Raw genomic sequence first — 27,499 nt, 5'->3', positions numbered from 1 at the left:
GTAACCTTCAGTCATTTATGTCTTGTCTAGGCAGAAAATACTAGAATAATAACTAGAAGTAGTAAAACAAGCATACTTTTATTTCTAATCCTAATGGCAGATGTTTTCCATCATTACTAATCACTGTATTGGTTGCTGTAGATTTTTAAAAGGTCAAGGTTTTTTTCTACTTTTCATTGCTTAGGGAATCTTTCCCATGAATGGCTTAAGAATTTATTGAATGCTTTTCCCTGATTCCTCTTTGATGATCTTGCCTTACTCAGAAAATTCAGGTACCTAGGACTGACTGTACTTGCCCTTGATAGATACCTAATATTTAAATGTGTAAGTAAATAAAAGTTTTTTTAAAATGTGGAAAGATAACTGATTGACATTCCAATGTTATATTATCTTTGTAATTCCAGAAAAATGCAGTTTGAGTATAATGGATTAACTTTTTTTTTTGCTAGAATATTTTATATACCTATAGTGTAAAGATTTTTTAAAAATATTATTAACATTGGCATGTAATATTTGCCAAGACCAGGTCGGTCATGGAGACCACAATCCAGCAGCACTAGAGGAATAAAGACATAGACAGAAATAGAGTGCAAAGTGGGATCAGGGGGCTAACAGCCTTCAGAGCTGAGAGCCTCGAACAGAGTTTGACCCACCTATTTATTGACAGCCTGTGATAAACATCGTTTCTGTAGTTTGTAGATTAACTGAAAGTATTCTTTAAGGAGAACAAAGGGACAGGCTCTGGCTTGTTATCTGCAGCAGGAGCATGTCATTAAGGCACAGATTGCTTATGCCATTGTTTGTGGTTTAGGAACACCTTGAGCAGTTTTCCGCCCTGGGTGGGCCAGGTGTTCCTTGCCCTCATTCTGGTGAACCAGCAACCTCCAGTGTGTGCATCATAACCATCACGAGCATGTCACAGTGCTGCAGAGATCTTGTTTATGACTTTTCTTATGGCTTGTTTATGGCCAGGCTTGGGGCCTATTCCCAGCATGTCCCCCTTTTTGTTTTACCAGGGCAATAAAAGCAAAGGCGGCTTTATCACAGTGAGCTACTTCTTGCAGGAGTCAGGATCCGCATCTGCAGACTACACAAAGACAAACAACACAGATTAATAGCACAACCATCATAGAAATCACAGAGCCTCCAAGTGTTTTTATGCATTTCATAGGATTTATGGCTGCCAATCCATCTGCAACTCCTTCAAGCACTCCAGTTCCTGGCATTAAGGTCAGGTGTGCCTGGGATGCTTGAAATATTTGTTCTCTTAATTTTGCAACATCCGAAGACAAGTTTGTAGAGTGTCCTTCCAGATACTTTTTTTTATTCTTTCCCATTCATGGTCTAATTCATTATAAGGGTGAGGAGTGATACAAAAGTCAGAAGTATTCCAGTCGCATTTCAGCTGCATTCCATATTCCAAACTAGCTACTTGATCTCCCACCCACATTACAGTTGGTTGGAGATCATTGATTTGATTAACTATCTTTTGGTCTATTTTAGTTTGAGAGTTCCACAGCAGAGTAGAATTCTTTTGCCATTATTTACAAAATCTGCTGTCTGCACTGATGAATGTAGTGCCACTCCAGCTACTGCAGCAGTAGCTGTGACAGCAATCAGTCCCATAATAATCAAGATTAAAGTAGCAATGAAACACTGAGAACTTCTTAGAATTTTCTGAAGAATTTAGTAATAATATGTACAGAGGGAGAGGGTTCCCAAGGATGGGAAAGCTTCGCCGGTAACCAACTCCTTCTTGAGCTCTCACTGCTAGTATAGAATGATTAGTATTAAACAAGGAAGAGTTCACACAAGAGGACAATCTACCTTCCTGGCAAGTTACATGATAATTAGGGGTGTCAAACTTTAGATCGCCCATTACCAACAAAAGGAGGGTGAACACAACTTTGTATCCAAATTGTATTATTTTCAACAAGTTCTAAAATGTAATTAGGATTATATTGTGATGGCATAGTATATTTTCCTTCCCAAATCTTGATCTTATCAAAAGCTATTAATAGTTTCCACAAATCCTTATGTTTAGCTCCTACAGCGGGCCATATCATTTGAGGTTGAGGTGCCACTATACCGTCATGTTTCCAGATAATAGGAACTCTTGCGGTACTTCTTATCATTTTTACCATCTGATCGTTTTATTCAGACCAGCTGAACATAGTGTGGCCATCACATGCAGACAGAGGTGCAATTCATGCTAAACATCCCCTTAGGGGACCAATCAATAATGATTCCATAGGAATCATGCAGCACCTCTGCCTGTCCTGCAATGCAATCTTCCCAAATGAGTACATTCATTTTTTCTGACCGGGTCCAATCCTGTTTACAAATAGGTTTTTGAGGGCGGTATGCCTCAATTAGAGGAGCAGATTCATTATGGTAAATACTGACACCAGAAAGCATGTGTAACTGCCATAGAGTGATTACGTCCAGGCATTATTGCCAGCCAAGATTGATACTGAGGGGGTGGGCAACTAGTGGCCTTTCCCAAACAGATGGGCGGATGCTTAAATCCTAAAGAAATACTCATAACAGTTCCTTCCCTGTGTGGGTGAGATGGGCCTCTATCATCTGTAGGACCAGGCATCCAAGAGCTATTATTAGTGTATACCTCCACTGGGGGGTCCAGCCAAGTTACAGGCCATAGAAGTGGTGGAAAAGGTAAATATGCCCAATGAGTATAATTGCTCTTTTTGTCAGTCCTTGCTGAAGGAATACTCATGGCAATGGTGATCACCGCTGTCATAAAATTACTCACTGTGACTGCTTGTCCTGCTTTCCTCAGGTTTTCTTCCACCATCTGTGACAGCTTCTTGATCTGTCCCCAGGTAGGTGGCTGCTTTCGATGAGTGTTGCTCGTGACAGTTGGGGGTCATCCTCAGCATCAACTTGGACAATGCTGCCACCAGTGGGTGTTTGGGATCCTCCCAAAACCTCTTCCTCGTTATCTGGCTCATAGTAGGGCTTTAGATATCTCGATGGCACCCAAATTGGCTGTTGATTCTGTCCTGGAGAAACACAAGCATAACCTCTGCCCCATGTTATTATTTTACCTGTTTCACAACCTTTTGTTATCGGGTCTTTCCACCAAACCCGTTGTTCCACTTTCTGTGTCGGTAGAAGGGCTGAGGCAGGGCCTGCTTGTCTGACATAATGTAAAAGAGTCTTGGAACATGTCCTGGGTCCCGGGTCTAAAACCCCTTGTGGCCTATGGAACACCAAGCTCTGTGCCTAAGGATGGAAGGCTGCCCCGCTGCACTACAGTCTAAGCCCAGGGCATAAAACCCCTTGTGGCTCATAAATTGATTGTATCTTGAGTTAGAAGAACCTATTCTCCATTATCTCAAGTAGCAGAGCATATGCTAAACCATCACAGCTACCTTTCTACCCCCACATCCTCACCTGTCTACCCCCATGTCCACACGTCCTCACCACCTGCTTCTTTGATCACCAATAAATAGTGTGGGCTCCCAGAGCTCAGGGACTTCGCAGCCTCCATACTAGTGTTGGCCCCCTGGACCCACCCTATGAACTCTTAACTTGTCTCATTCCTTTGACTCTGCCATACTTCGTAGCCCCCATGGCCTAGTGTTCAGTCTGATCACCCCAACATAGTAGGGCTTTAGATGTCTCAATGGCACCCAAATTGGCTGTTGATTCAGTCCTTTAGAAACACAAGCATAACCTCTGCCCCATGTTATTATTTTACCTGTTTCCCAATCTTTTGTTATTGGGTCCTTTCCACCAAACCCATTGTTCCACTTCTGCCTTTGCAGCTGTCTTCTGTAAATGTTTTTCAGCTGCTGATAACAATCGGCCTTTAGGCAGGCTCAAAAAATTTAAAGTTAATAATGCTAGATTTAGTTGCATGTGTGGAGTCCTATAGTCACTGTCTCCCCCTTTCTGTTTTTGCAACTGCTGTTTTAGGGAGAGATTCATTCTTTCCACTATAGCTTGTCCTTGAGAATTATATGGGATACCAGTAATGTCTTCAATATTCCATATAGAGAAAAATGTAGCTAGAGCTTGGCTAGTATAGCTTGGGGCATTATCTGTTTTAATAGAAGCTGGAATGCCCATCACCACAAAACACTGCAAAAGGTGATGTTTAACACAGGCAGAAGACTCTCCTGATTGGCATGTAGCCCAGACAAAGTGAGAAAAGGTGTCTACACATACATGTACATAAGCTAGTCTCCCAAACGAGGGAACATGTGTGACATCCATTTGCCAAAGAGAATTAGGTTCCAATCCTCAAGGAATCATTTGGCAAGTTGGGCATCGCTGGTTAATAGCTTTAGCTTCTTTCCAGGTAATGCTGTATCTGTGTCTGAGACCAGAGACATTAACGTGTGTTAAATTGTGGAATTGTCTAGCATTAGATATTGCAGTAGCAACTAGGTGATCAGCCATTTGATTCCCTACAGTCAAAGGTCCTGGAAGAGGTGTATGAGCCCTAATGTGAGTGATGTAAAAAGGGTGCATTCTACTCCTAACTGCTGTTTGCAATTGGGTAAATAAAGTCATCAGTTGCTCTTATGTGTGGAATTGTAGCTGAGCATTTTCAACTAACTGTGTAGAACCACATATGAAGAATCAGAAATCATATTAATAGGCATATTAAAAGCAGTCAATGCCTCAATTACAGCCTCAAGCTCCGCTTTTTGAGCTGAAGTATAGGGCGTCTGAAAAACTTTACCTTTCAATCCAGAATAAGAGGCTTTACCATTACTAGACCCATCTGCGAAGACATTCTCAGTACCTTCAATTGGTTTGATTTAGTCATTTTAGGGAGAATCCAATTAGTTAATTTCAAAAAATTGAAACAGTTTCATGTTAGGAAAATGGTTATTGAGAATACCCACAAAGTCAGCTAAATGGGTTTAACAAGTAAGACTATTTATAAAAGCTTGCTGTATTTGTGTCTTTGTGAGAGGGATAATAATTTTTCCAGGATCATATCCGTGTAATTTAACAATCCGAGTTCTCCCATTTCCTATCATAGTAGCAATTCGATCCAAATAAGGAGTCAAAGTCCGTGAATTAGTATATGGAAGGAAAAGCTACGCCACAAGATCTCGCTCTTGAACAATAACACCAGTAGGTGAATGCTGAGTTGGAAAAATGAGCAAATCTAGAGTATTCTCTAGATCTATTCTATTTATTTGGGCCTTATGGACTTGCTTTTCAATTAGCTGCAGCTCTGCCTCAGCTTCTTTTGTTAATTGCCAAGGGCTTGTGACACTAGGATCTCCTCTAAAGATAGAAAACAGAGTACTCATGGCATAAGTCAGAATGCCTAGAGCAGGCGGTATCCAATTAATATACCCTAGTAAATTTTGAAAGTCTGATTCAATGTTTTCTATTGATCCTACATATGGCTACTTTCTGTGGCATTATTGTGGTGACATTTACTAAGGCCCCCAAGTAGACGTAAGGAGTAGTAGTCTGAATTGCGTCAGGAGCTATAATTAAACTGGCATGAGAAATTGAATTCTCCAAGTGACCGTAACATTGGAGTAATATTTCCGGAGTGGGGGAAGCACAAAGAATATCATCCATATGATGAATAATGTAACACTGTGAAAATCTTTTATGAGTAGGTTCAATTGCTTGCCCTACATAAGTCTGGCAAATTGTTGGACTGTTTAACATGCCTTGTGCAACACTTTCCAATTAAAACGCTTAGCAGCCTGCAAGTTGTTTACCACAGGAATCGTAATTGCAAACTGTTCACAGTCCTGCTGAGCTAAGGGGATAGTAAAGAAACAAGTCTTTTAAATCTATGGCTATTAAAGGCCAATTTTTTGGAATCATAGCAGGAGAAGGCAGTCCTGGCTGTAATGCCCCAATAGGTTATATAGCTGAATTAATAGCCCTTAAGTCAGTTAACATTCTCCATTTACCTGGTTTTGTCTTAATTACGAAAACTGGGGAATTCCAAGGGGAGAGAGTTTGAGCTATATGTTCCTTTTGAAGCTGTTCTTTGACTAGTTCATTTAAAGCCTCCAGTTTCTCTTTACTCAGCGGCCACTGTTCTATCCATATTGGCCTGTCTGTCAGCCATTTTAACAGGATAGGCTCTGCAGGCTTACCATCAAAAATGGTATCCTAAGTCTTGGCGGGAACTTTGTCTTTCCGCTTGAAGAGATTCCTTCAAACCTTGCAAATTTTTTCCTAGTTCCATACCATGGACATACCCCATTTCATGCATCATATGTTGACTTTGAGGGCTGTATAATTGCTCAGGAATTAGAACTTGTGCTCCCCATTGTTGTAATAAATGTATGGGGGGAGAGCCCCCATAAATTTATAGGTATAGAAGTTATAATTGGTTGAATAGTCCCAGGTTGTCCATCGGGCCCTTTACAATGCAAAGTATAACTACTTTGATATACTTCAGGGGCTTTATCAACTCCAACTATGTTAAATTGAGCAGGCTGAATTGGCCATGCAGACGGCCAGTGATGTAGAGATATGATTGAAATGTCCACTCCTGTATCTACCAAACCTTTAAATTTCTTTCGCTGAATAGTTTTTTCACAGGTAGGATGGTTATCAGTAATTTGATTTACCCAGTAGGTGGCTCTCCCTTGTTTATTTGTACTGCCAAATCCCCTTGTTCTTTTAGTTTCACTTTTTCCTAGTCCCACATACGGTAAAATCAGAAGCTGCCCTATACGCTCTCCCGGTTCTGCCTTTTAAGGAACAGAGGTAGATATAACGATTTGAATTTCCCCGTTACAATCCAAATCAATTACTCCTGTATGAACCTGCACTCCTTTTAAATTTAAACTAGATCTTCCCAGAAGTAGTCCTACCATTCCTGCTGGCAGAGGTCCGCAGACTCCTGTTGGTACCTTCTGCAGTGGCTTTCCAGGCAGGAGACTCACAGCCCTGGTGCAACACAGATCTACTGAGGCACTACCAGCTGTGGCGGGGGACAAGCATTATACAGGGGTGAGGGAGTGGTCTGAGCCAGGAATGCCCTGGTTTGGAATGTGGCTCAGGATTGGCCCCTCATGGCGTTTCTCGAAATCGGGTTTCCGTCTTTATCAAATTTAGAATGACACTGATTGGCCCAGTGCTTTCCTTTTTTACACTTCAGGTATAGACCTGGTTCAGCAGTTTTCTTTTTTCCATCAATGGGTAGTTGGACCCTCTGATTTTTTCTACATTCTCTCTCGTATGCCCATGTTTCCTGCAGTTGAAACAAGCTTCAGGAAATGGAGCATTTCCTTTACCCACTCTCAGTCCTCCCATGGCTTGCATTAACAGAGTAGCTTTATGCAGATTACCTCCAATACTGTCACAGGCCTTGATATAATCAACTAAATGTGCTTTCCCTCTAACAGGTCACAGAGCAGCCTGGCACTTGGGATTAGCATTGTCAAAAGCTAATAACTGCAACACTATATCCTGAGCAGTTGAATCTGCAATCACCTTTTTAAGAGACTCCTGTAACCAAGCTATAAAATCTGCATAGGGTTCTTTTGGCCCCTGCTTAACAGCACTAAAATAAGGGTATTGTTCTCCACCTGAAGAGATTTTTTTCCCAAGCTCTAATGCACACTCCTCTAAGCTGATCTATAACATCATCCTGCATGACCACTTGTGCGTCTAATGCAGCCCAGCCACCAACTCTCAAAAGTTGGTCGGTAGTTACATTAATTGGAGGTTGAATTTGTGCACTGCAGGCAGCTTGAATAGAAGCTTCATCTGGCCACCAGGTCTTAAACTGTAAAAACTGAGCAGGAGCCAGACAGGCTCGAGTAAGAGTGTCCCATCAATGGGAATCATCTGACTGGAGGTAGCAACATTTTTTGACAGACCCATCACGAAAGGAGAACGTGGTCCATACTGATTGATAGCCTGTTTAAACTCATTCAGTAATTTAAAGGGAAAAGCCTCAAATGTAGCCATAACATTCCCCTGTTGATCTGGGGGGTGTATCCTAACAGGGAACTTCCAAGCCTCTAAATTACCCTCTCTTCTAGCTTGCTGAATTCCTGCCTGAATAGAACTGAGGGCGGTCACTCGGGGCTCTGCTCGAACAGTTGCTGGGGAGACTACTTTTTGCTCAGTGTCCTCCAGAAAAGAAAGATCCAGAGGGTCAGGCCATTCCCTATCTTCAAGGTATTGAGGAGGTGCTGAGGGGCAGGGACAAGCTTCCCCTTCTTGGGTCTCTTTAAGTGGTTGACGGATCTGTTCTTTTATCTCTTCTGCAACATTATCACACTCCCTCTCTTCTTTGTCTCCTTCCTCCTCATCATCAGTGTGAAAAGCTTCCAAGGTGGAATGAATCAGAGCCCACACTGACCAGACAGTTATAGGAATATCCTCAGCACCATCCTTATACGCCTTTTTCAGTGCGCTGCCTACCTCCTCCCAGACCTCTACATCCATATTTCCTCAGTCGGAAACCAGGGGCAATATTTCTCTACCATACTAAAAAGCTGCATAAGTCAGCTAGTGCTAACTTTCACTCCTCCTTTTCTGAGGAGCTGCCGAGGCAGACTCAAATAAGCCTTGTGCCTGCTTGACCCTTGTCCCATTGTTACCCTGATGCTTCCGAGCTCCCCTTCTTACTTACCATGGGGATTGCTTAAGAGTACTCAGGTGTGCTCCAGCGTAGTTCCATGTTCTCCAACCATCGCTCTGGCGACCCTTCGACCCGGGTTCGAGCCCCATGTTTGGGCGCCACTTGCTGAGACCAGCTTGGTCATGGAGACCTCAACCCAGCGGTGCTAGAGGAATAAAGACACAGACACAAAAAGAGAGTGCAATGTGGGATCAGAAGTGCAATGAGACCTTCAGAGCTGACGGTCTCAAACAGAGTTTGACCCAACTATTTATTGACAGTAAACTCATGATAAACATCGTTTCTGCAGTTTATAGATTAACTGAATGTATTATTTATGGAGAACCAAGGGACAGGCTCTTGCTTGTTATCTGCAGCAGGAACATGTCCTTAAGGCACAGATTGCTCATGCCATTGTTTGTGGTTTAGGAATGCCTTGAGAAGTTTTCCGCCCTGGGTGGGCTAGGTGTTCCTTGAGCTTATTCTGGTGAACCAGCAACCTCCAGTGTGTGCATCATAGCCATCACGAGCATGTCACAGTGCTGCAGAGATCTTGTTTATGGCCAGTTTCTCATGGCCTGTTTATGTCCAGGCTTGGGGCCTGTTCCAAGCAATATTCTTTTCTTAGTCTATCATTGCCTGTTTTTTTGTATGAAGGTTGGAGTATTTTCTCCTTTCCTTAACTCATACAGTACTTTCTTATTACAAGTATTATCAGTCACAATTCACTGGCAGAATCAGCTGAATCTGGATTATTTGTTGCCATTGTTATGGGATTTTATTTTCATGTTTTGGAATGAATTCAAAGCATGGACTCAATTATTTTTATATTTTGTAGGCACTAGTAAGGTTTCCAATTTCATCTTTTTAAAGTTTTTATTTATTATTTTCCAATTTCATCTTAAGTCTGTTTTGGCAAGAGTTGTTTTTATAGGTAGTTTTGTATTTTAAAATTTATACTCAATGTTTATATTTTCTGATATTTTAAGTATTTGTGCCTTTTGCTGTTGCATACCTTTTGCATACCCCTTTTCATTCCTGATATCATTTCCTTGTGCCTTTTCTCCTTTATGAAAAACATTAATGTTGCTAGAATTTACTTAGTTTTGTTAATTCCTTTCAAAATAAATGGATTTGATTAGTATATTTTTGGTTTGATTTCTGTAGAAAAGTTGTGTTGACATAACAAATTATCACAGGATGGCTTAAGCAACAGAAATTAATTTTCTCAGTGCTATGGAGGCTGTAAATGTCTTCAGGGTGCCAACATGGTTGGTTTTTGGTGAGGGCATCTTCTTGGCTTGTAGAGTGCTGCTTTCTCATTATCTCTCATTCTGCTGGCTCACCTTTGGCTGACAGATACAGCAAACACTCTTGTGTCTCTTCTTTATAAGGTACTAATACTATCATGAGAGCCCCATCATCATGATCTCATCCAACCCTAATTACCTCTAGAAGCCCCCATATTCAAATATAAACACCTTAGGAGTTGGGATTCGAAGATATGAACATTGTGCGGGGAAGAGTGTATACACAGTTCAGTCTATAGTGTTCTATTTTGTTAGTTTCTATTTTTAATTTTTGCTTCCATTGTAGTACATTATTTTTTCTCACCTTTAGGTTCAGGGCATACATGTGCATGTTTGTAACATGGGTAAATTGTGTATTGCTGGGGTTTGTGATATGAATGATCCATCACCCAAGTGGTAAGCATAGTATCCTGTAGGTAGTTTTTCAACTCTCTCCTCTTCCCCCAGCCTCCCACCTACCCGCCCAGTAGTCTCCAGTGTCTATTGTTCCCATCGTTGTATCCATGATTACTCGCTTAGCTCTCACAAATGAGAACATGTAGTATTTAGGTTTCTGTTCCTGTGTTAATCTGTTTAGGATGATCACCTCCAACTTCAACCATGTTGCTGCAGTGGATATGATCTTGTTCTTTTTTATGGCTGCGTAGTATTCCATGGTGTATATGTACTACGTTTTCTTTATCCATTCCACTGTTGATTGGCATTTAGGTTGATTCCATGTCTTTGCCATTGTGAATATTGCTGTGATGAATATATGAGTGTATGTGTCTATTTGATAGAAAAATCTATTTTCTTTTGGGTATATACCCGGTAATGGCATTGCTGGTTAGAGTGGTAGCTTTGTTATAAGTTCTTTTGAGAAGTCTCCACACTCCTTTCCACAGTACATTCCAACCAACAGTGTATACAAATGTTCCCTTTTCTCTGCATCCTGGCCAACATGTTTTTTGACTTTTAAATAGTAGCCATTATGACTGGTTTGAGATGGTATCTCATTGTGGTTTTGATTTGCATTTCTCTAATGATTAGTAATGAGCATTTTTTCCTATGTTTATTGGCTGCATGTATGTCTTCTTTTGAGAACTGCCTGTTTATGTTCTTTTGCCCTGCCCCCCACTTTTTTTTTTGGCTTACATGGAGTCTCACTGTGTCACCCAGGCTGGAGCGCAGTGGCACAATCTCAGCTCACTGCAACCTCCGCCTCTTGGATTCAAGCGATTCTCCTGCCTCAGCCTCATGAGTAGCTGGGATTACAGATGTTCGCCACCATGCCCAGCTAATTTTTGTATTTTTGGTAGAGATGGGGGTTTCACCATGCTGGCCAGGCTGGTCTCGAACTCCTGAACTCAAGTTATCCTCCTTACTTGACCTCCCAAAGTGCTGGGGTTACAGGTGTGAGACACTGCGCCAAACCATTTGCCCATTTTTTAATGGGATTTGTTTTTTGCTTGTTGAATTAAGTTTCTTATAGATTCTGGATATTAGACCTTTGTCAGATGCATAATTTGAAAATATTTTCTTTTGTAGGTTGTCTAACTCTCTTGATAGTTTCTTTTGCTGTACAGAAGCTATTTAGTTAAATTAGGTCCTACTTATCAATTTTTGTTTTTATTGCAGTTGCTTTTGGGGACTTATTCACAGATTCTTTGCTAAGGCTGATACCCAGAATGGTATTTCCTAAGTTTTCTTCAAGGATTGTTACAGTTTTAGGTTTTACATTTAAGTCTTTAATCCATCCTGAATTTTTGTATATGGTGAAAGGTAGGGATCCAGTTTTATTCTTCTGCATATGGCTAGCCAGTTATTCCCAGTACCATTTATTGAGTTGGGAATTCTTTCTCTATTGCTTGTTATTGTCTACTTTGTAGATCAGATGGTTGTAGGTATGTGGCTTCTTTTATTTTTTAACCTTGATCCATTGGTGTATGTGTCTGTTTTTGTAACAGTACCATGCTATTTTGGTTACTGTAGGCTTGTAGTGTAGTTTGGAATCAGGTAGGGTGACGTCTCTGGTTTTGTTCTTTTTGCATAGGATTGCTTTGGCTATTTGGGCTCTTTTTCAGTTCTGTATAAATTTTAGAATAGTTTTTTTTTCTAATTCTTTGAAAAATGACATTGAGAGTTTGATAGGAATAGTGTTGAATCTGCAGATTGCTTTAGGCACTATGGCCATTTTAATGATACTGATTCTTCCTGTCCATGACCATGGGGTGTTTTTCCATTGTTTTTCAGCAGTGTTGTTTTGTAGTTCTTCTTGCAGAAACTTTAACCTCCTTGGTTAGATGTATTCCTAGGTATTTTATTTTGTGGTTATTGTAAATGAGATTGCATCTTGATTTGGCTCTCAGCTTGAACACTATTGGTGTACAGAAATGGTGATTTGGTGTGGTGGCTCATGCCTGTAATCCCAGCACTTTGGGAGGCTGAGGCAGACTGGTCACTTGGAGGCAGGGGTTCAAGACCAGCCTGGGCAACATGGTGAAACCCTGTCTCTACTAAAAATATAAAAATTATCTGGATATGGTGCTGCATGCCTGTAATCCCAGATACTCGGGAGGCTGATGTGCAGAGGTTGCAGTGAGCCGAGATCGTGCCACTGCACTCCAGCCTGGGCAACAGCGAGACTGTATCTTTAAAAATAAATAAACAAACAAATAAATGCTGATTTTTATACATTGATTTTGTATCCAGAACTGAATTGAGTTTTCTAAATTCTGAAGTTGTTTATCAGCTCCAGGGGCCTTTTGTCAGAGTCTTATAGAGTTTTCTATGTACAGACTCATATCATCAGTGAAGACAAATAGTCCTATTTGCGTGCCTTTTATTTCTTTGATTGTTCTGGCTGGGACTCCTAGTACTATGTTGAATAGCAGTGGTTAGAGTGCGCATCCTTTTCTTTTTTCAGTTTTTTTTTTTGAGACAAAGTCTTGCCCTATCACCCAGGCTGGAGTGCAATAGCGCGATCTCGGCTCACTGCAACCTCCGCCTCCCGGGTTCAAATGATTCTCCTGCCTCAGCCTTCCGAGTAGTTGAGATTACAGGCGCCTGCCACTGCGTCCAGCTAATTTTTGTATTTTTAATAGAGACAGGGTTTCGCCATCTTGGCCAGGCTAGTCTTGAACTCCTGACCTCATGATCCAGCTGCCTCAGTGTCCCAAAGTGCTGGGATTACGGGCACAAGCCATCGTGCCTGGCCTTTTTTCAGTTGTTTTTTTTTTTTTTTTTTTTTTTTGAGACAGAGTTTTGCTCTTGTTGTCCAAGCTGGAGTGCAGTGCAATGGCGCAATCTTGGCTCACTGCAACCTCCGCCTCCTGGGTTCAAGTGATTCTCCTGCCTCAGCCTCCCAAGTAACTGGGATTACAGGCACAGACTGGCACACCTGGCTAATTTTTGGACTTTGAGCAGAAACGAGGTTTCACCATGTTAGCCAGGATGGTCTCGAACTCCTCACCTCAGGTGATCCACCCACCTTGACTTTCCAAAGTGCTGGGATTACAGGCATGAGCCACTGTGCCCAGCCTTTTCAGTTCTTAAGTGGGGTGCTTCCAGCTTTTGCCCATTTAGTATGATGTTGGCTGCAGCTATGTCATAGATGGCTCTATTATTTTGAGGTATGTTCCTTTTTTGTTTTTTTCACTTCATATGGTGCTGACTTTCTAAGTTTTTGCTGTAGGTGTTTTAGCACTCTAAACATTTCTCTTAACCCTGCTTTAGCTGCATCCCAGAGATTTTGGTATCTTGTTTTTTTGCCTTCATTAATTTCAAAGAATTTTTAAATTTCCACCTTAATTTAGCTGTTTACCCAAAAGTCATTCAGAAGCAAGTTGTTCAATTTCCATGTAATTGTGTGATTTTGACAGATCTTGGTATTGATCTTTATTTTTATTTCTATTTCACTGTGGTCTGAGAGTATGGTTGGTATGATTTTCAAATTTTGAATGAATTTATTGAGACTTGCTTTATGGCTGAGAATGTGGTCTTTGAGTGTTCTGTGTGCAGACGAGAAGAATATGTATTTTGTGGTTGATGGGTAGAATGTTCTGTGGATATCTATTAAGTCCAATTGGTGAAGTTTCAAATTGAAGTCCAGAATTTGTTAGTTTTCTGCCTCAGTGATCTAACACTGCCAGTGGGGTGTTGAAGTCTGCCACTATTCTTGTTTGGCTGTCTGTTTGTAGGTCTAGAAGTACTTGTTTTATGAATGCGAATGCTCCAATGTTGAAGGTTAAGTCATCTTGTTGGATTGAACCCTTTATCATTATATAGTGCTCTTTGTCCTTTTTTCCTGTTGTTGGTTTAAAGTCTATTTTATCCAACAAAAGAATAATGATCCGTGCTCTTTTTTGTTTTGCATTTGCATGATAGCTCTTTCTCCCACTTTTTGAGTCCATGGGTGTCTCATATGTGTGAGATAGGTCTCAGAAGGATAGTACTTGTCGTTTTTATCCAGATTGCCACTCTGTCCCTTTTAAATGGGGTGGTAAGACCATTTACATTCAAGGCTAATATTGATATGTGAGGATCTGATCCTATTATGAAGCTGTTAGGTGGTTGTTTTATAGTTTCTATTTTGTTTTTGCTTCAAAAGGTCTGTGGGCTGCGTACTTAGGTTTGGTTGTTTTGTGGTAGCAGGTATCATTCTTTCGTCTTCATGTTTAGAACTCCGTTAAGGGGCCAAGTGAGGTGGCTCATGCTTGTAATCTCAGCACTTTGGGAGGCTGAGGAGGGTGGACACCTCAGGTCAGGAGTTCAAGACCAGCCTGACCAACATGGAGAAACCCTGTCTCCACTAAAAAAAAAAAAAAAAAAAAGCCAGGCATGGTGGTGCATGCCTGTAATCCCAGCTACTCCGGAGGCTGAGGCAGGAGAATCACTTGAACCCAGGAGGCAGAGGTTACCATGAGCCAAGATCGTGTCATTGCACTCCAGCCTGGGCAACAAGAGTGAAATGTCTGAAAAACAAACAAACAAACCCCCCGCCACACGCACACACAAAAACTCCATTAAGGATTTATTGTAAGGCTGGTCTACTGGTAATGAAATCCCTTAGTGATTGCTTGTCTCTAGAAATGTTTATTCTACTCTTATGAAGCTTAGTTTGGTCAGGTTTGAAATTCTTGGTTTGAGTTTCCTCTTCAAGAATGATGAAAATAGGCCCCCAGTCTTTTCTGGCTTGTAGGGTTTCTCCTGAGGAGTCTGCTATTAGCCTGATGACGAGATTCCCTTTGTACCTGATGTGCCATTTCCTCTAGCTGCCTTTAAGCTTTTTTCTCTAGCGTTGACCTTAGGCTGGTGACTGTATGTCTTCGTGGTGTTCATTTTATGTAGTATCTGGCAGGTGTTGTCTGGATTTCTTACATATGGATGGCTACCTCTCTAGCACAATTAGGGAAATTTTCTTAAATTATTCTCTCAAGTATGGTTTCCAGGTTGCTTACTTTTTCTCTTTCTCTCCCTGGAATGCCAGTTATTTGTAAATTTGATCACTTTACATCATCCCATATTTCTTGGGGACTTTGTTCCTTACATTTTTTTCTTTGTGTTTGTCTGACTGGGTTAGTTGAAAGACCAGTCTTCAAGCTCTGAAATTCTTCTGCTTGGTGTAGTCTGTTGATGAAGCTTTCAATTTTATTTTAAAATTCCTTAAGTGAGGTTTTCAGTTCCTGTAGCTTTGATTAATTACTTCTTAAGATGTTTATTTCTTATTTTGTTGATTGCTTTATGTTTGTGTTGATTTTCAATCTTGTCTTGGATCTAGCTGAGCTTCCCTGTAGGCCAAGCTTTGAATTCTCCACCTGTCATCTCTGTGCCTCCATTTTGGAAAGGGACCATTGCTGTAGAGTGAGAGTGACCCTTTGGTGGTGTCACAACATTCAGCTTTTTCATGGTGGCAGAATTCTTACAGTTTCCTTCTCATCTGGAGAGGGTTGGGGCTAAAATATAGAAGAATGTGCTTCTAATCTGTGTCAGATTGTTGGTAGAATTAATTTTGTTATGGCTGTAGAATTCCTTACAGCTTATTTTGTCAATGCCAGCAACAGAGAGTATGTCTATTTTTTTTTTTTTTTTTTTTGTGACGGAGTCTCGCTCTGTTGCCCTGGCTGGAATGCAGTGGCGTGATCTTGGCCCACTGCAACCTCCGCCTCCCAGGTTCAAGCGATTCTCCTGCCTCAGCCTCTCGAGTAGCTGGGACTATAGGCACGCGCCACCATGCCCAGCTAATTTTTGTATTTTTATCTAGAGATGGGGTTTCACCATATTGGCCAGGCTGGTCTCGAACTCCTGACCTTGTGATCTGCCCACCTCGGCCTCCCAAAGTGCAAGTGTGAGCCATGGCATCCAGCTGTCTGCTATTTTTTAGTCACTGATATCCAAATCCCCTTTGAAGGGACTCATCTAATTTTGTCAGGTGAATATCTCTAGATATCTCTATACTATAAGTAAATCAAGTTCTCCTAGGAATATTCTAGGAGATTATTCGCTTTGTGTAATGTGTAATCGACTGAATAGGGACTTGAATTGTATCTGGAAAATTCCTTCATTGTTGCCACATAATGTAATACAGTTGACTGACATTGCATCACTTTTGCTATATTTTCTTGATTAGGAGGAAACTGTTTATCCTACCAACACTCAACAGGAGGGGATTATACCAAGGCATACCAGAGTGCAGGACTCATAAGCACCATCTCAGAATTCTGCCTACTATACAGGTAAACCCCCTAACGTGGATGAATCTCACAAACATGATGTTGTGAAAGAAACCAGAAGTAACAAGAGAATGCATCCTATATTTTATGTGTGTGTGTGTGTGTGTGTGTGTGTGTGTGTGTGTGTGTGTATGACTTGGCAAAATTGGTTCTGGTTTAGGGAAAGGTGGAGTAAATGCAGTTATCCTGTCTGTCCCACTGAATGTCCCACCTGGACAGAATGCATCAGCTATTTGAAGAATCTGAAAAGTAAATAGCAGCAGGGAGATGGAAAAAAAAATCAGCGTTCAAAGTACCACCAAGCAGGCAGTAAGTTTACTAGTTTTACCCCTTCTGGTTTCATCTGGTCTGTACTCAGTGTGGCTGAAAAACCAGAGGCACACATCATGACCAACATGGAGAGTTCCAGAAGAAGCCCTCTGGTTCTGGTAATATCAACAAGGGGGTGGGAGGGGTGGTTTCTAATGCTCAGTGAGAAAGAGAGGGAGATTAATACCTCAGTTTGTTTTCTCCATTTACTTGGTTCCAGCCTCCAAGCAATCCTGTGGTGGCAATGAGACATACCATAGACTTTGAGAGCTGGAATGTGAGATAGATGACCTTCTGTGTAGTCTAGCCTCCAGGTAGAGACACAAAGCATACAACAAAATCTTTGAAAATAAAGCTCTCATTGAAACCACAACTCAGAGCGTTGACTAAAACTTGCAAGCTGAACCCAACTGGGTAATTGTCCAGATTAAAAAAAAAAATCAGCTGAGTGCAGTGGCTCATGCCTTTAATCCCTGCACTTTGGGAGGCCGAGGCGAGTGGACCACGAGGTCAAGAGATCGAGACCATCCTGGCCAACATGGTCAAACCCCGTCTCTACTAAAAATACAAAAATCAGCTGGGCGTGGCAGTACATGCCTGTAATCCCAGCTACTAAGGAGGCTGAGGCAGGAGAATCGGTTGAATCGGGAGGCGGAGGTTGCAGTGAGCCACGATCACACCACTGCACTCCAGCCTGGCGACAGAGCTAGACTCCATCCAAAAAAAAAAAAAAAAAATCTACGTTCTCCATAGGACTTAAAGGCCCAGAGTGTTATAATATTCAAAGTGCCCTGAATATAAACCCAAACTATTCAGCATACTAGCAGCAGAGCCTCACAGGGCTGTGTAACAGTACAAAAGGCTAACATTCATGATATTAGAGTCCTAAAAGAAGAAGAAGATGTGTGATGCAGTAAGTTTTTGAAAAGGTAATGATGAAAAACTTCTCAAATTTGATGAAAGACACAAATATTCAGATTCAAGAAATTTAATGAACCCAAAACATAACCCCAAAGAAATATAAGCCAAAACATATAATAATTAAAGTTGTGAAAGCTAAAGATAAGTAGAACATCTTGAAATTAGCCTGGGAAGTAATAACATGTTACTTATAAGAGAACATTTCGTGGCTCATGCCTATAAATCCCAACAATACTTTGGGAGGGTAAGGCAGGCAGATCACTTGAGCCCAGGAGTTCGAGACCCGTCTAGGCAACATGGAAAAATCCCACCCCTACAAAAAAATTAGCTGGGTGTGGTTGCATGTGCCTGTAGTACTTTGAGACCCTGTCTCAAAGTAAATAAATAAAAGAACAGTTCAGTTGACTGTGGATTTCTTTTTCCTTCCCTCCCTTCTTTCCCCTCCTTTCCTTTCCTCCTTTCCCTCTCTCTTCTCTTCTTTCTTTTTTCCTTCCTTCCTTTCTCCCTTCCTTCTCCTTCCTTTTTTTTTTTCTTTTCTCTTTCCTTTCTTCCCTTCCTTCTTCTCTTTCTTTTTCTTTCCTCGTTCTTTTCTCTTTGTTTCTTTCTTTCTTCTCCCCCCCTTCTCTCTTTCTTTCTTTCTGAGATGGAGTCTCACACTCCAGGCTGCAGTGCAATAGCACAATCTCGGTTCACTGCAACCTCCACCTCCCGGATTCAAGCGATTCTCCTGCCTCAGCCCCCCGAGTAGCTGGGATTCAGGTGCCTGCCACCGCACCCATATAATTTTTTGTATTTTTAGTAAAGACAGGGTTTCACTATGTTCGCCAGGCTGGTCTCGAACTCCTGGCCTCATAATCAATCCGCCTTGGCCTGGGATTATAGGCATGAGCCACCACTCCTGGCCGACTGTGGATTTCTTATAGAAACTATAAAGGCCTGGGCATGGTTACTCATGCCCTGTAATGCCAGCACTTTGGGAGGCCAAGGTGGATCACTTGAGCCCTGGAGTTCAAGGCTGCAGTGAGCTATGATTACATCACTGTCATCCAGCCTGGGTGACAGCAAGACCCTGTCTCAAAACAACAAGCAAAAAAACCCACCAATGGCTCACATCTGTAATCCCAGCACTTTTGGAGGCTGAGGTGGGCAGATCACTTGAAGTCAGGAATTCAAGACCAGCCTGGCCAATATGGCAAAACCCTGTCTCTACTAAAAATACAAAAATGAGCTGGGCGTGGTGGCACACATCTATAATACTAGCTACTGGGGAGGCTGGGCACAAGAATCACTTGAACCTGGGAGGTGGAGGTTACAGTGAGCCGAGATCACGCCACTGCACTCCAGCCTGGGTGACAGAGTGAGCCTCTGTCTCAAAAAACAAAAAACAAAAAAACAAAAAAACACACCACCATAAAGGCAAAGAGCAAATTAAATGACATTTTTTAAGGGCTGAGAGAAAAGGAACACCTTAAAGTTTCTTTGGATGGCTATGTGAAATACTTTCTTAGACTTCTGCCCTCTTAGTTTGTTTGTTACCTGCGTGCAGCCAGCTGCTCAAGCTCCCAGGTCACACCATCTGCACGCACAGGAACTGTGTGTGTGTGCGCGTTTCTCTGTGTGTGTGCATGGTGATTCTGCGCGTTTCTCTGTGTGTGTGCATGGTGATTCAAAATGTGGAATGGCTTCCATGTATTCATGTAGTGGAACTGTGCGTAGGCCTGGATTCACATGCCTCTTTCATATCCTTGTGGTCTCCTTAAGGGACTTTTTTTTTTTTTTTTTTTTTTTTGAGACGGAGTCTTGTTCTGTCTCCCAGGCTGGAGTTCAGTGGCGCAATCTCGGCTCACTGCAAGCTCTGCCTCCCGGGTTCACACCATTCTCCTGCCTCAGCCTTCCGAGTAGCTGGGACTACAGGCACCCACCAACACGCCCGACTAAGTTTTTTTTTGTATTTTTAGTAGAGATGGGGTTTCACCGTCTTAGCCAGGATGGTCTCGATCTCCTGACCTTGTGATCTGCCTGCCTCAGCCTCCCAAAGTGCTGGGATTACAGGCATGAGCCACTGCGCCTGGCCTCCTTAAGGGACTTATATCTCCTTTTTTTTTTTTTTTTTGAGAGTCTCGCCCTGTTGCCCAGGCTGGAGTGCAGTGGCACAGTCTCAGCTCACTGCAGCCTCCACCTCCTGGGTTCACGCGATTCTCCTGCCTCAGCTTCCCAAGTAGCTGGGATTACAGGCGTGTGCCACCACACCCGGCTAATTTTTTGTATTTTTAGTAGAGACGGGGTTTCACCGTGTTAGCCAGGATGGTCTCGATCTCCTGACCTCGTGATCCACCTGCCTTGGCCTCCCAAAGTGATGGGATTACAGGCGTGAGCCACACATGTGGCTGAGACTTTTCTCTTAATGAAGAGAAAACAAGAGAAAAGGATAGGGGTTGAAATACTGAAACATTAATTTTAGGTAAGGGGAGTTGGTCCTCCAAATATATACTAATTTCAGCCAGGTGGGCATGAAAATAAATATCTCAGGCCAGGTATGGTGGCTTATGTCTATAATCCCAGCACATTGGGAGGCTGAGGCAAGCGGATCACTTTGAGTTCAGGAGTTAGAGACCAGCCTGGGCAACATGGTGAAACCCTGTCTCCACTAAAAATACAAAAATTAGCCCTGCATGGTGATGCACGCCTGTAATTCCAGTTACTTGGGAGGCTGAGGCACAGTAATCACTTGAACCCAGGAGGCGGAGGTTGCATTGAGCTGAAATTGTGCCACTCCAGCTTTGGTGATGGAGTAGACTCTGTCTCAAAAAAAAAAAAAAAAAAAGAAAAGAAAAGAAATATCTCAGAGCATTTCACAGAGGTCAACACATTTGAAAAGGTGAGGAAACTTTTAAAGCTGTACTGGTTATAGAGCAAAGTGAAGTACAGAATAGAGTCAGACTGCTAGAGTACACGTCTTGGCTCTGCCTCTTGCTGGCTACGTAATTTTGTAGAAGTTAAATGGCCTCTCTTGCCTCAGTCTGATCTTCCTTTTTTTTTTTTTTGAGACAGAGTCTGGCTCTTTTGCCCAGGCTGGGGTGCAGTGGCTGATCTTGGCTCACTGCAAGCTCCGCCTCCCGGGTTCGCGCCATTCTCCTGCCTCAGCCTCCTGAGTAGCTGGGACTACGGCGCCCGCCACCGTGCCCGGCTAATTTTTTGTATTTTTAGTAGAGACGGGGTTTCACCGTGTTAGCCAGGATGGTCTCGATCTCCTGACCTCGTGATCTGTCTGCCTCGGCCTCCCAAAGTGCTGGGATTACAGGCGTGAGCCACCACGCCTGGCCATCTCAGTCTGATCTTCTGTAAACTGTGGATGAATTTTATAATAAGCTGCCTGATTTGGTACTGTAAGAATCAAATAAGTGAATGCATCTACTCAAATATGATAAGACAAGATTTAGTGGTACTTAGTAAGATTAAATTAGTCCTAGGTAATGATATTTTAAAGAAAACTCATCTGTATGCAAATCTTCTAAATAAAATTTCTAGCAAAACTAATCCAGTTATGAGAAAAAATAGTGCCCTATGAACAGTTTTACTTTAGGATTGCAAGAATGGCTTATTATCAGGAATGTTTTCAACACAACTAATTACTATACTACATTTGAGAGAGAGGAAAGTATTGTGAGGGAAGATGAAAAATTCCATATCCATTTGGAATTTAAAAAGTAAGTGAGCAAGGAAAGGAAAATGAATCCAGAATGGAATGGAGAAGTTTATCTACTGATGTGATTTTTTATGTAGGAAATCCTAAGGAATCCACTAAACTATTAAAACTGATAAACAAGTTCAACAAGGTTACAGGTAACAAGATCAACATAGAAAACTCAGTTGTATTTATGTATACTATCACGGCACAAGCCAAAAATGAAATTAAGAAAACAATTCTGGCTGGGCGTGGTGGCTCATGCCTGTAATCCCAGCACTTTGGGAGGCCTGAGGTCAGGAGCTCGAGACCAGCCTGGCCAACATGGTGAAACCCCGTCTCTACTAAAAATACAAAAAAAAAAATTAGCTGGGTGTGGTGGCGCGTGCCGGTAGTCCCAGCTACTCAGGAGGCTGAGGCAGAAGAATCGCTTGAACCCAGGAGGTGGAGGTTGCAGTGAGCTGAGATGGCACCACTGCACTCCAGCCTGGGCAATAAGAGCGAAACTTCATCTCCAAAAAAAAAAAAAAAAAAGAAAAGAAAAGAAAAGAAAAGAAAACAATTCCATTTATTATAGTATTAAAATAATAAACTACTTGGGAATAAATCTGATAAAAGATGTGCGAGACTTCCATACTGAATACCACAAAATGTTGATAAAGATGAAAAGTAATGGAAAGTCACCCCATGTTGATGGATTAGAATACTTATTATTTTTGAGAGGGAGTCTTACTCTGTTGCCCAAGCTGGAATGCACTGGTGCAATCTCGGCTTACTGTAACCTCTGCCTCTGGGTTCAAGCAGTTCTCCTGCCTCAGTCTCCCGAGTAGCTGGGATTACAGGCATGTGCCACCATGCCCAACTAATTTTTGTATTTTTAGTAGATATGGGGTTTCACCATGTTGGCTAGGCTGGTCTCGAACTCCTGACCTCAAGTGATCTGCCCATCTCGGCTTCTCAAAGTGCTGGGATTGTAGTCATGAACCACCACACCTGACCAAGAATACTGAACATTATTTTTAAGATGGCAGTACTCTCCAAGTTGGTCTATAGATTAAACATAATCCCTATCAAAATTCCAGATGGTGACAGAGTCTTTGCTTTACTCAACTATAGTCAAGCTCCTTAAACTTTTCTTAGGCCCATGTGTACACTTTTGTATATTGAGTTTTAGCAAGAACCCTGCTAAGTCAGTACAATAAGAACCTACCACCCTCAGTATCAGATCACCCTTATAGCTGATCAGGTTCCCGATTCTCTACTATCTACCAATTACAGGCCAAAGTGATCAGACATCATGTTAGGTCAGTTTATCCACCATCCTCCATACCCCTGATATTCCTCTTGGCAATTTTCCACTCACTGACCTTTACTCTTTAACTTGACTATAAATTCCCATTTGCTCATGCTATAATTATTCAGAGTTAGCCTACTCTGTCACCTCCACTGCAAAATCCTACTGCAGTGGTCCCTATACCTAACGTGATGGTACTGAATAAAGTCTGCCTTACTATGCTTTAACAAGTTCCACTGATGTTATTTTTTTTTTTAATTTAGCACTGGCTTCATAGCAGAAATTGACAGGCTCATCATAAACTTTATATAGAAATGGAAAGAACACCAAATAGCCAAACAGTCTTGAAAAAGAGGAACACAGTTGAAGGAGTCACACTTTTGGATTTCATAAAGTGCTACAAAATTGTAGTAATCAAAACAATGTGGCACTGGCTTAAGGATAAACATACAAATTAATGGAATAGAATTGAGAGTCCAGAAGTAAGCCCTCACATATATGGTCAACAGATCTACAAGGCTGCCAGGGTAATTCAATGAAGAATGAAAAGAATGTTTTCAACAAATGGTTCTGGGAGAAATTGATACCATACTGCAAAAGAATGCATTTGGGCTTTTACTTTATACCACATACAAAAGTTAACAGATACCACATTGGGGATTAAGCTAAAAAAATTAAAATATTTAAAAACCCCACAAAAGTTAGCTGACAATGGATCAAAGACCTAAACATACATGTAAGACCTACAATAATTCCCAGAAGTATAGGCAGAAAAGTTTCATGATACTGGATTTAGTACTGTTTTCTTAGGTGCAGTATCAAAAACATTGCAAACAAAAAATTATCAACATTAAACTTGTACTTCAGAGGACACTCATCAATATTATATAGTTTAGTATTCTAAAATATTCCATCAAGAAAGAGAAGGAAAACCTATTGAGAGAAAATATTTGTAAATCATATATATGATAAGGACCTCTCTTCAGAATATATAAAGAACTCTTGCAACTCAATGGAATTTTTTTTTTTAAGATAGAGAGTTTCGCTCTTGTTGCCCAGGCTGGATTGCAATGGCACCATCTCAGCTCACCGCAAGCTCCGCCTCCTGGGTTCAAGCGATTCTCCTGCCTTGGCCTCCTGAATAGTTGAAATTACAGGCATGTGCCACCATGCCTGGCTACTTTTTTGTATTTTTAGTAGAGACAGGGTTTCTCCATGTTGGTCAGGGTGGTCTTGAACTCCCAACCTGAGGTGATCTGCCTGCCTTGGCCTCCCAAAGTGCTGGGATTACAGGCGTGAGCCACTGCACCCGGACCTTTTTTTTTTTTTTTTTCGAAACAGAGTCTCACTTTATCACCCAGGCTGGAGTGCGGTGGCATAATCTTGGCTGACTGCAACCTCTTCCTCCCGGGTTCAAGCGATTCTCCTGCCTCAGCCTCCCGAGTAGCTGGGATTACAGGTGTGTGCTATCACGCCTGGCTGATTTTTTATCTTTTACGATGTTGGCCAGGCTGGTCTTGAACTCCTGGCCTCAAGTGATCTGTCTGTCTCAGCCTCCCAAATTGCTGGGATTACAAGCCACCGTGCCCAGCCAGAAAACAAATTTTAAAAGGGGCAAAGGAATTGAACAGAAATTTCTCCAAAGAAGCATACAAATGGCTAACAAAGCACATTAAATGATGCTGAACATCACTAGTGTTAGGGAAATACAAGTCAAAATCATGAGGTATCACCTCACACCACTAACACAGTTAACATGAAAAACACTAAAGTGTTAGCAGGGACGTAGAGAAGTTGGAGCCCTCATACATTTCTGGTGGGAATGTAAAACAGTACAGCCCCTTTCAAAAACAGTGTGGCAGTTCTTCAAATTCTTAGATAGTTACTGTATGGCTCAGCAATTCCATTCCCAGATATATACTCTAGAGAAATAAAAACCAGCTGAGCGTGGTGGCTTATGCCTTTGTGGAGGCCGAGGCGGGCAGGTTGCTTGAGCTTAGGAGTTTGAGACCAGCCTGGGCAAAACCCTGTCTCTACAAAAAAATACAAAAATTAGCTGGGTGTGGTGGCTTATGCCTGTGGTCCTAGTTGCTCAGGAGGCTGAGGTGGGAGGATCGCTTGAGCCTAGGAGGTAGAGGCTGCAGTGAGCTGTGATTTCTCAAAAAATAAAAGCCAGTATGCACAAAAAGATATATGTGAATTTTCATAGCAGCATTAATCACAACACCCCCAAAGTGGAAACAAACCATATGTCCATCAACTGAAGACAAATCATATATGGTATATACATAGAATGGAATATCATTCAGCAATAAAATAGAATGATCTAGGCTATAATACAGATGAACCTTGAAAAACGGGCTAAGTGAAAAAAGTTATTCACAAAAGATTGTATGATTTTTAGGCCGGGCATGGTGGCTCACGCCTATAATCCCAGCACTTTTGGAGGCCGAGGCAGGACTACTTAAGCCCAGGAGTTCGAGATCAGCCTTGCAACATAGTGAGACCCTGTCTATACAAAAATAAAAATAAATTGTATGAGTATATCCATATGAAATGTCTACAAAAGAAAAATCTGTAGTGATAAAGTAGGTTTGTGGTTCCCTGGAGCTTAAAGAGGAGGTAAATGGGTTTTCCCATTCAAAGATTTCTTTTAGTGTGATTAAAATGTTCCAAAATTATGTTTGAACAACACTGCGAATGTACTAAAAAATATTGAATTATATAGCTTTAAGTGGGTGAACTGTGTTGGTTATATGTGAATTGTATCTCAATACAGCTGGTCTAAAAACCAAAAGGGAAAAATCACAATAATAGCCACATCATTGGGAGCGTAAAAATTTAATGTCTATTAAGCATTTAGGGTAGTAAGATTTAAAAAACAGCTACCGCCAGGTGCGGTGGCTCACACCAGCACTTTCAGAGGCTGAGGTGGGCAGATCACCTGAGGTTAGGAGTTTGAGACCACCCTGGCCAACATGGCGAAACCCCATCTCTACTAAAAAAAAAAAAAAAAAAAAATACAAAAATTAGCTGAGCGTGGTGGCGCGTGCCTATAATCCCAGCTACTCAGGAGACTGAGAAAGGAGAATCCCTAGAACTCAGGAGGTGGAGGTTGCAGTGAGCCGAGATCGTACCACTGTATTCCAGCCTGGGTGACAGAGCAAGACTGTCTCAAAAACAAACAAACAAAAAAGCTACCATTATTATTATTATTACCACGGAATATTATTAGTTGATACAAAACCACTGGAATGAAAAGATTATGATCTTGATATTGGCATAAGTAAATGTATTACTGGCATAGAGTCTAGAATCAGATACAGGTATACATAGGAATTTATAGTTTAATAAACATGGAATTTGAAATCAGTAAATCAAGGACAGTTTATCAATATGTGGTACTACAATAATTGGCCGTGTTTCTGGAGGAAAGAGATATTGTATCCACTATCCCACACCACATACTGAAACACATTCCATGAGTATGAAAGATTTCAATGTTTTTAAAGTAATATGCTGCAGAAGAAAATTAGGAAATCTATATGTAATCTAGAGTTTATGAAGACTTCTTAATGCAAGAGAGGAAACTTAAAAAAGAAAATCTTTTTGAGTTGAAAAATTAACTGCAAAATAGTTACCAGTTCAGTAGATTCACAAAATATTTGATAATGTACATGAACAGTTCTTCATGTTAGTAAAACAGTGTTCAAAATAACTTTATTAACTCCATAAAGGCCACCCACTACAAAGCACAGCAAAAACGATTTCTGGAGAAACTAGAATCACTCCTGCAGAAGTGAATGCCTGATATCAGTGCTATTTTACAACGCGGTATTTTACAACGAGGCCCTGGAACTCACTGTAAGATCTCAGAAAACAATATATTAGTCAAAGAAAAAAAAATCAACATTTACAAAAAGTATCAGCATATTGAATACACAAAGGAATCAACTATTAGAATTTAGCATGGCGTCCAGATAAATGAAATAAGGGGAAATATTGGCCTCAAGTTGAATTGGGCCCGGCGCCGTGGTGCACGCCTGTAATCCCAGCCTTTTGGGAGGCTGAGGCGGGATGATTGTTGGAGCCCAGGAGTTTGAGATCAGCCTGGGTAACATACCTCAACTCTGGGGGAAAAAAAATTAGCCGGGCATGGTGGCCTGCGCCTGTAGACCCAGCTACTCGGGAGGCTGAGGCGGGATGATGGCGTGAGCCCATGAGTTTCGCCCCACAGCACGCCAGCCTGGACTACACAGTGAGACCCTGTCTCAAACAAAAACAAAATAAAAAACTAAAACTAGATTGAATGAATGGAGGAGATAGGCCATATCATGGACTGGCAGGATTATCAAAGGAAGCATCATTTTGAGGGTGCTAGGAACGTGGGAGGAGGTGAGAATAAAAGCTTTTTGTGAGCATTGTGCACATCCTGTGGGGGAGCCCCCACCTCTAACTTTGCCAACACCACCGACCCCACCCTAGGTTAGCCCCGTCCGCAGGGCTGGTTCTAACCTCAGCCTTGTGCTCTGGGCCCCTTTTGGCCTCCATCCCTCAAGGTGAGCAGACTCCAAGGCCTCCAAGGCGTCTCCGTAGCCACTGGGGAGTAAACCAGAATCTCTCTGCCTGAGGTTGTTCAGCTCGGCTGAGGTTGCAGTTCCCGAGCGCTCCTCC

The 27,499-nt window shown here is 41.7% G+C and overlaps 1 protein-coding gene and 1 long non-coding RNA gene across 3 annotated transcripts in view; one reads left to right on the top strand and one right to left on the bottom strand.

Annotated features, from left to right (window-relative positions):
• Positions 1 to 17,237, top strand: part of ZNF560 (zinc finger protein 560) — a 60,817-nt gene extending 43,580 nt beyond the window's left edge. The window contains exons 11-13 of the transcript XR_007066601.1: positions 16,514 to 16,619; positions 16,777 to 16,925; positions 17,146 to 17,237. The gene's annotated coding sequence lies outside the window, so the exon portion shown is untranslated. The remainder of the gene's footprint in view (positions 1 to 16,513; positions 16,620 to 16,776; positions 16,926 to 17,145) is intronic.
• On the bottom strand, positions 584 to 27,472 carry LOC105372269 (uncharacterized). 2 transcript variants are annotated; one of them, XR_007067133.1, is made up of 3 exons: positions 27,341 to 27,472; positions 2,774 to 8,762; positions 584 to 1,087 (listed from the first exon to the last, which is right to left on the bottom strand). It is a non-coding gene; the product is annotated as an uncharacterized LOC105372269 (long non-coding RNA). The 2 variants fall into 2 exon arrangements; XR_001753860.2 differs by having other exon boundaries at positions 584 to 3,023; positions 8,609 to 8,762.
• Between the last annotated feature and the right edge of the window lie 27 nt (positions 27,473 to 27,499).

This window comes from Homo sapiens, chromosome 19, assembly GCF_000001405.40.
Source record: "Homo sapiens chromosome 19, GRCh38.p14 Primary Assembly".
NCBI classification, from domain to species: domain Eukaryota; kingdom Metazoa; phylum Chordata; class Mammalia; order Primates; family Hominidae; genus Homo; species Homo sapiens.
This window is presented reverse-complemented; position numbering and strand designations above follow the sequence as displayed.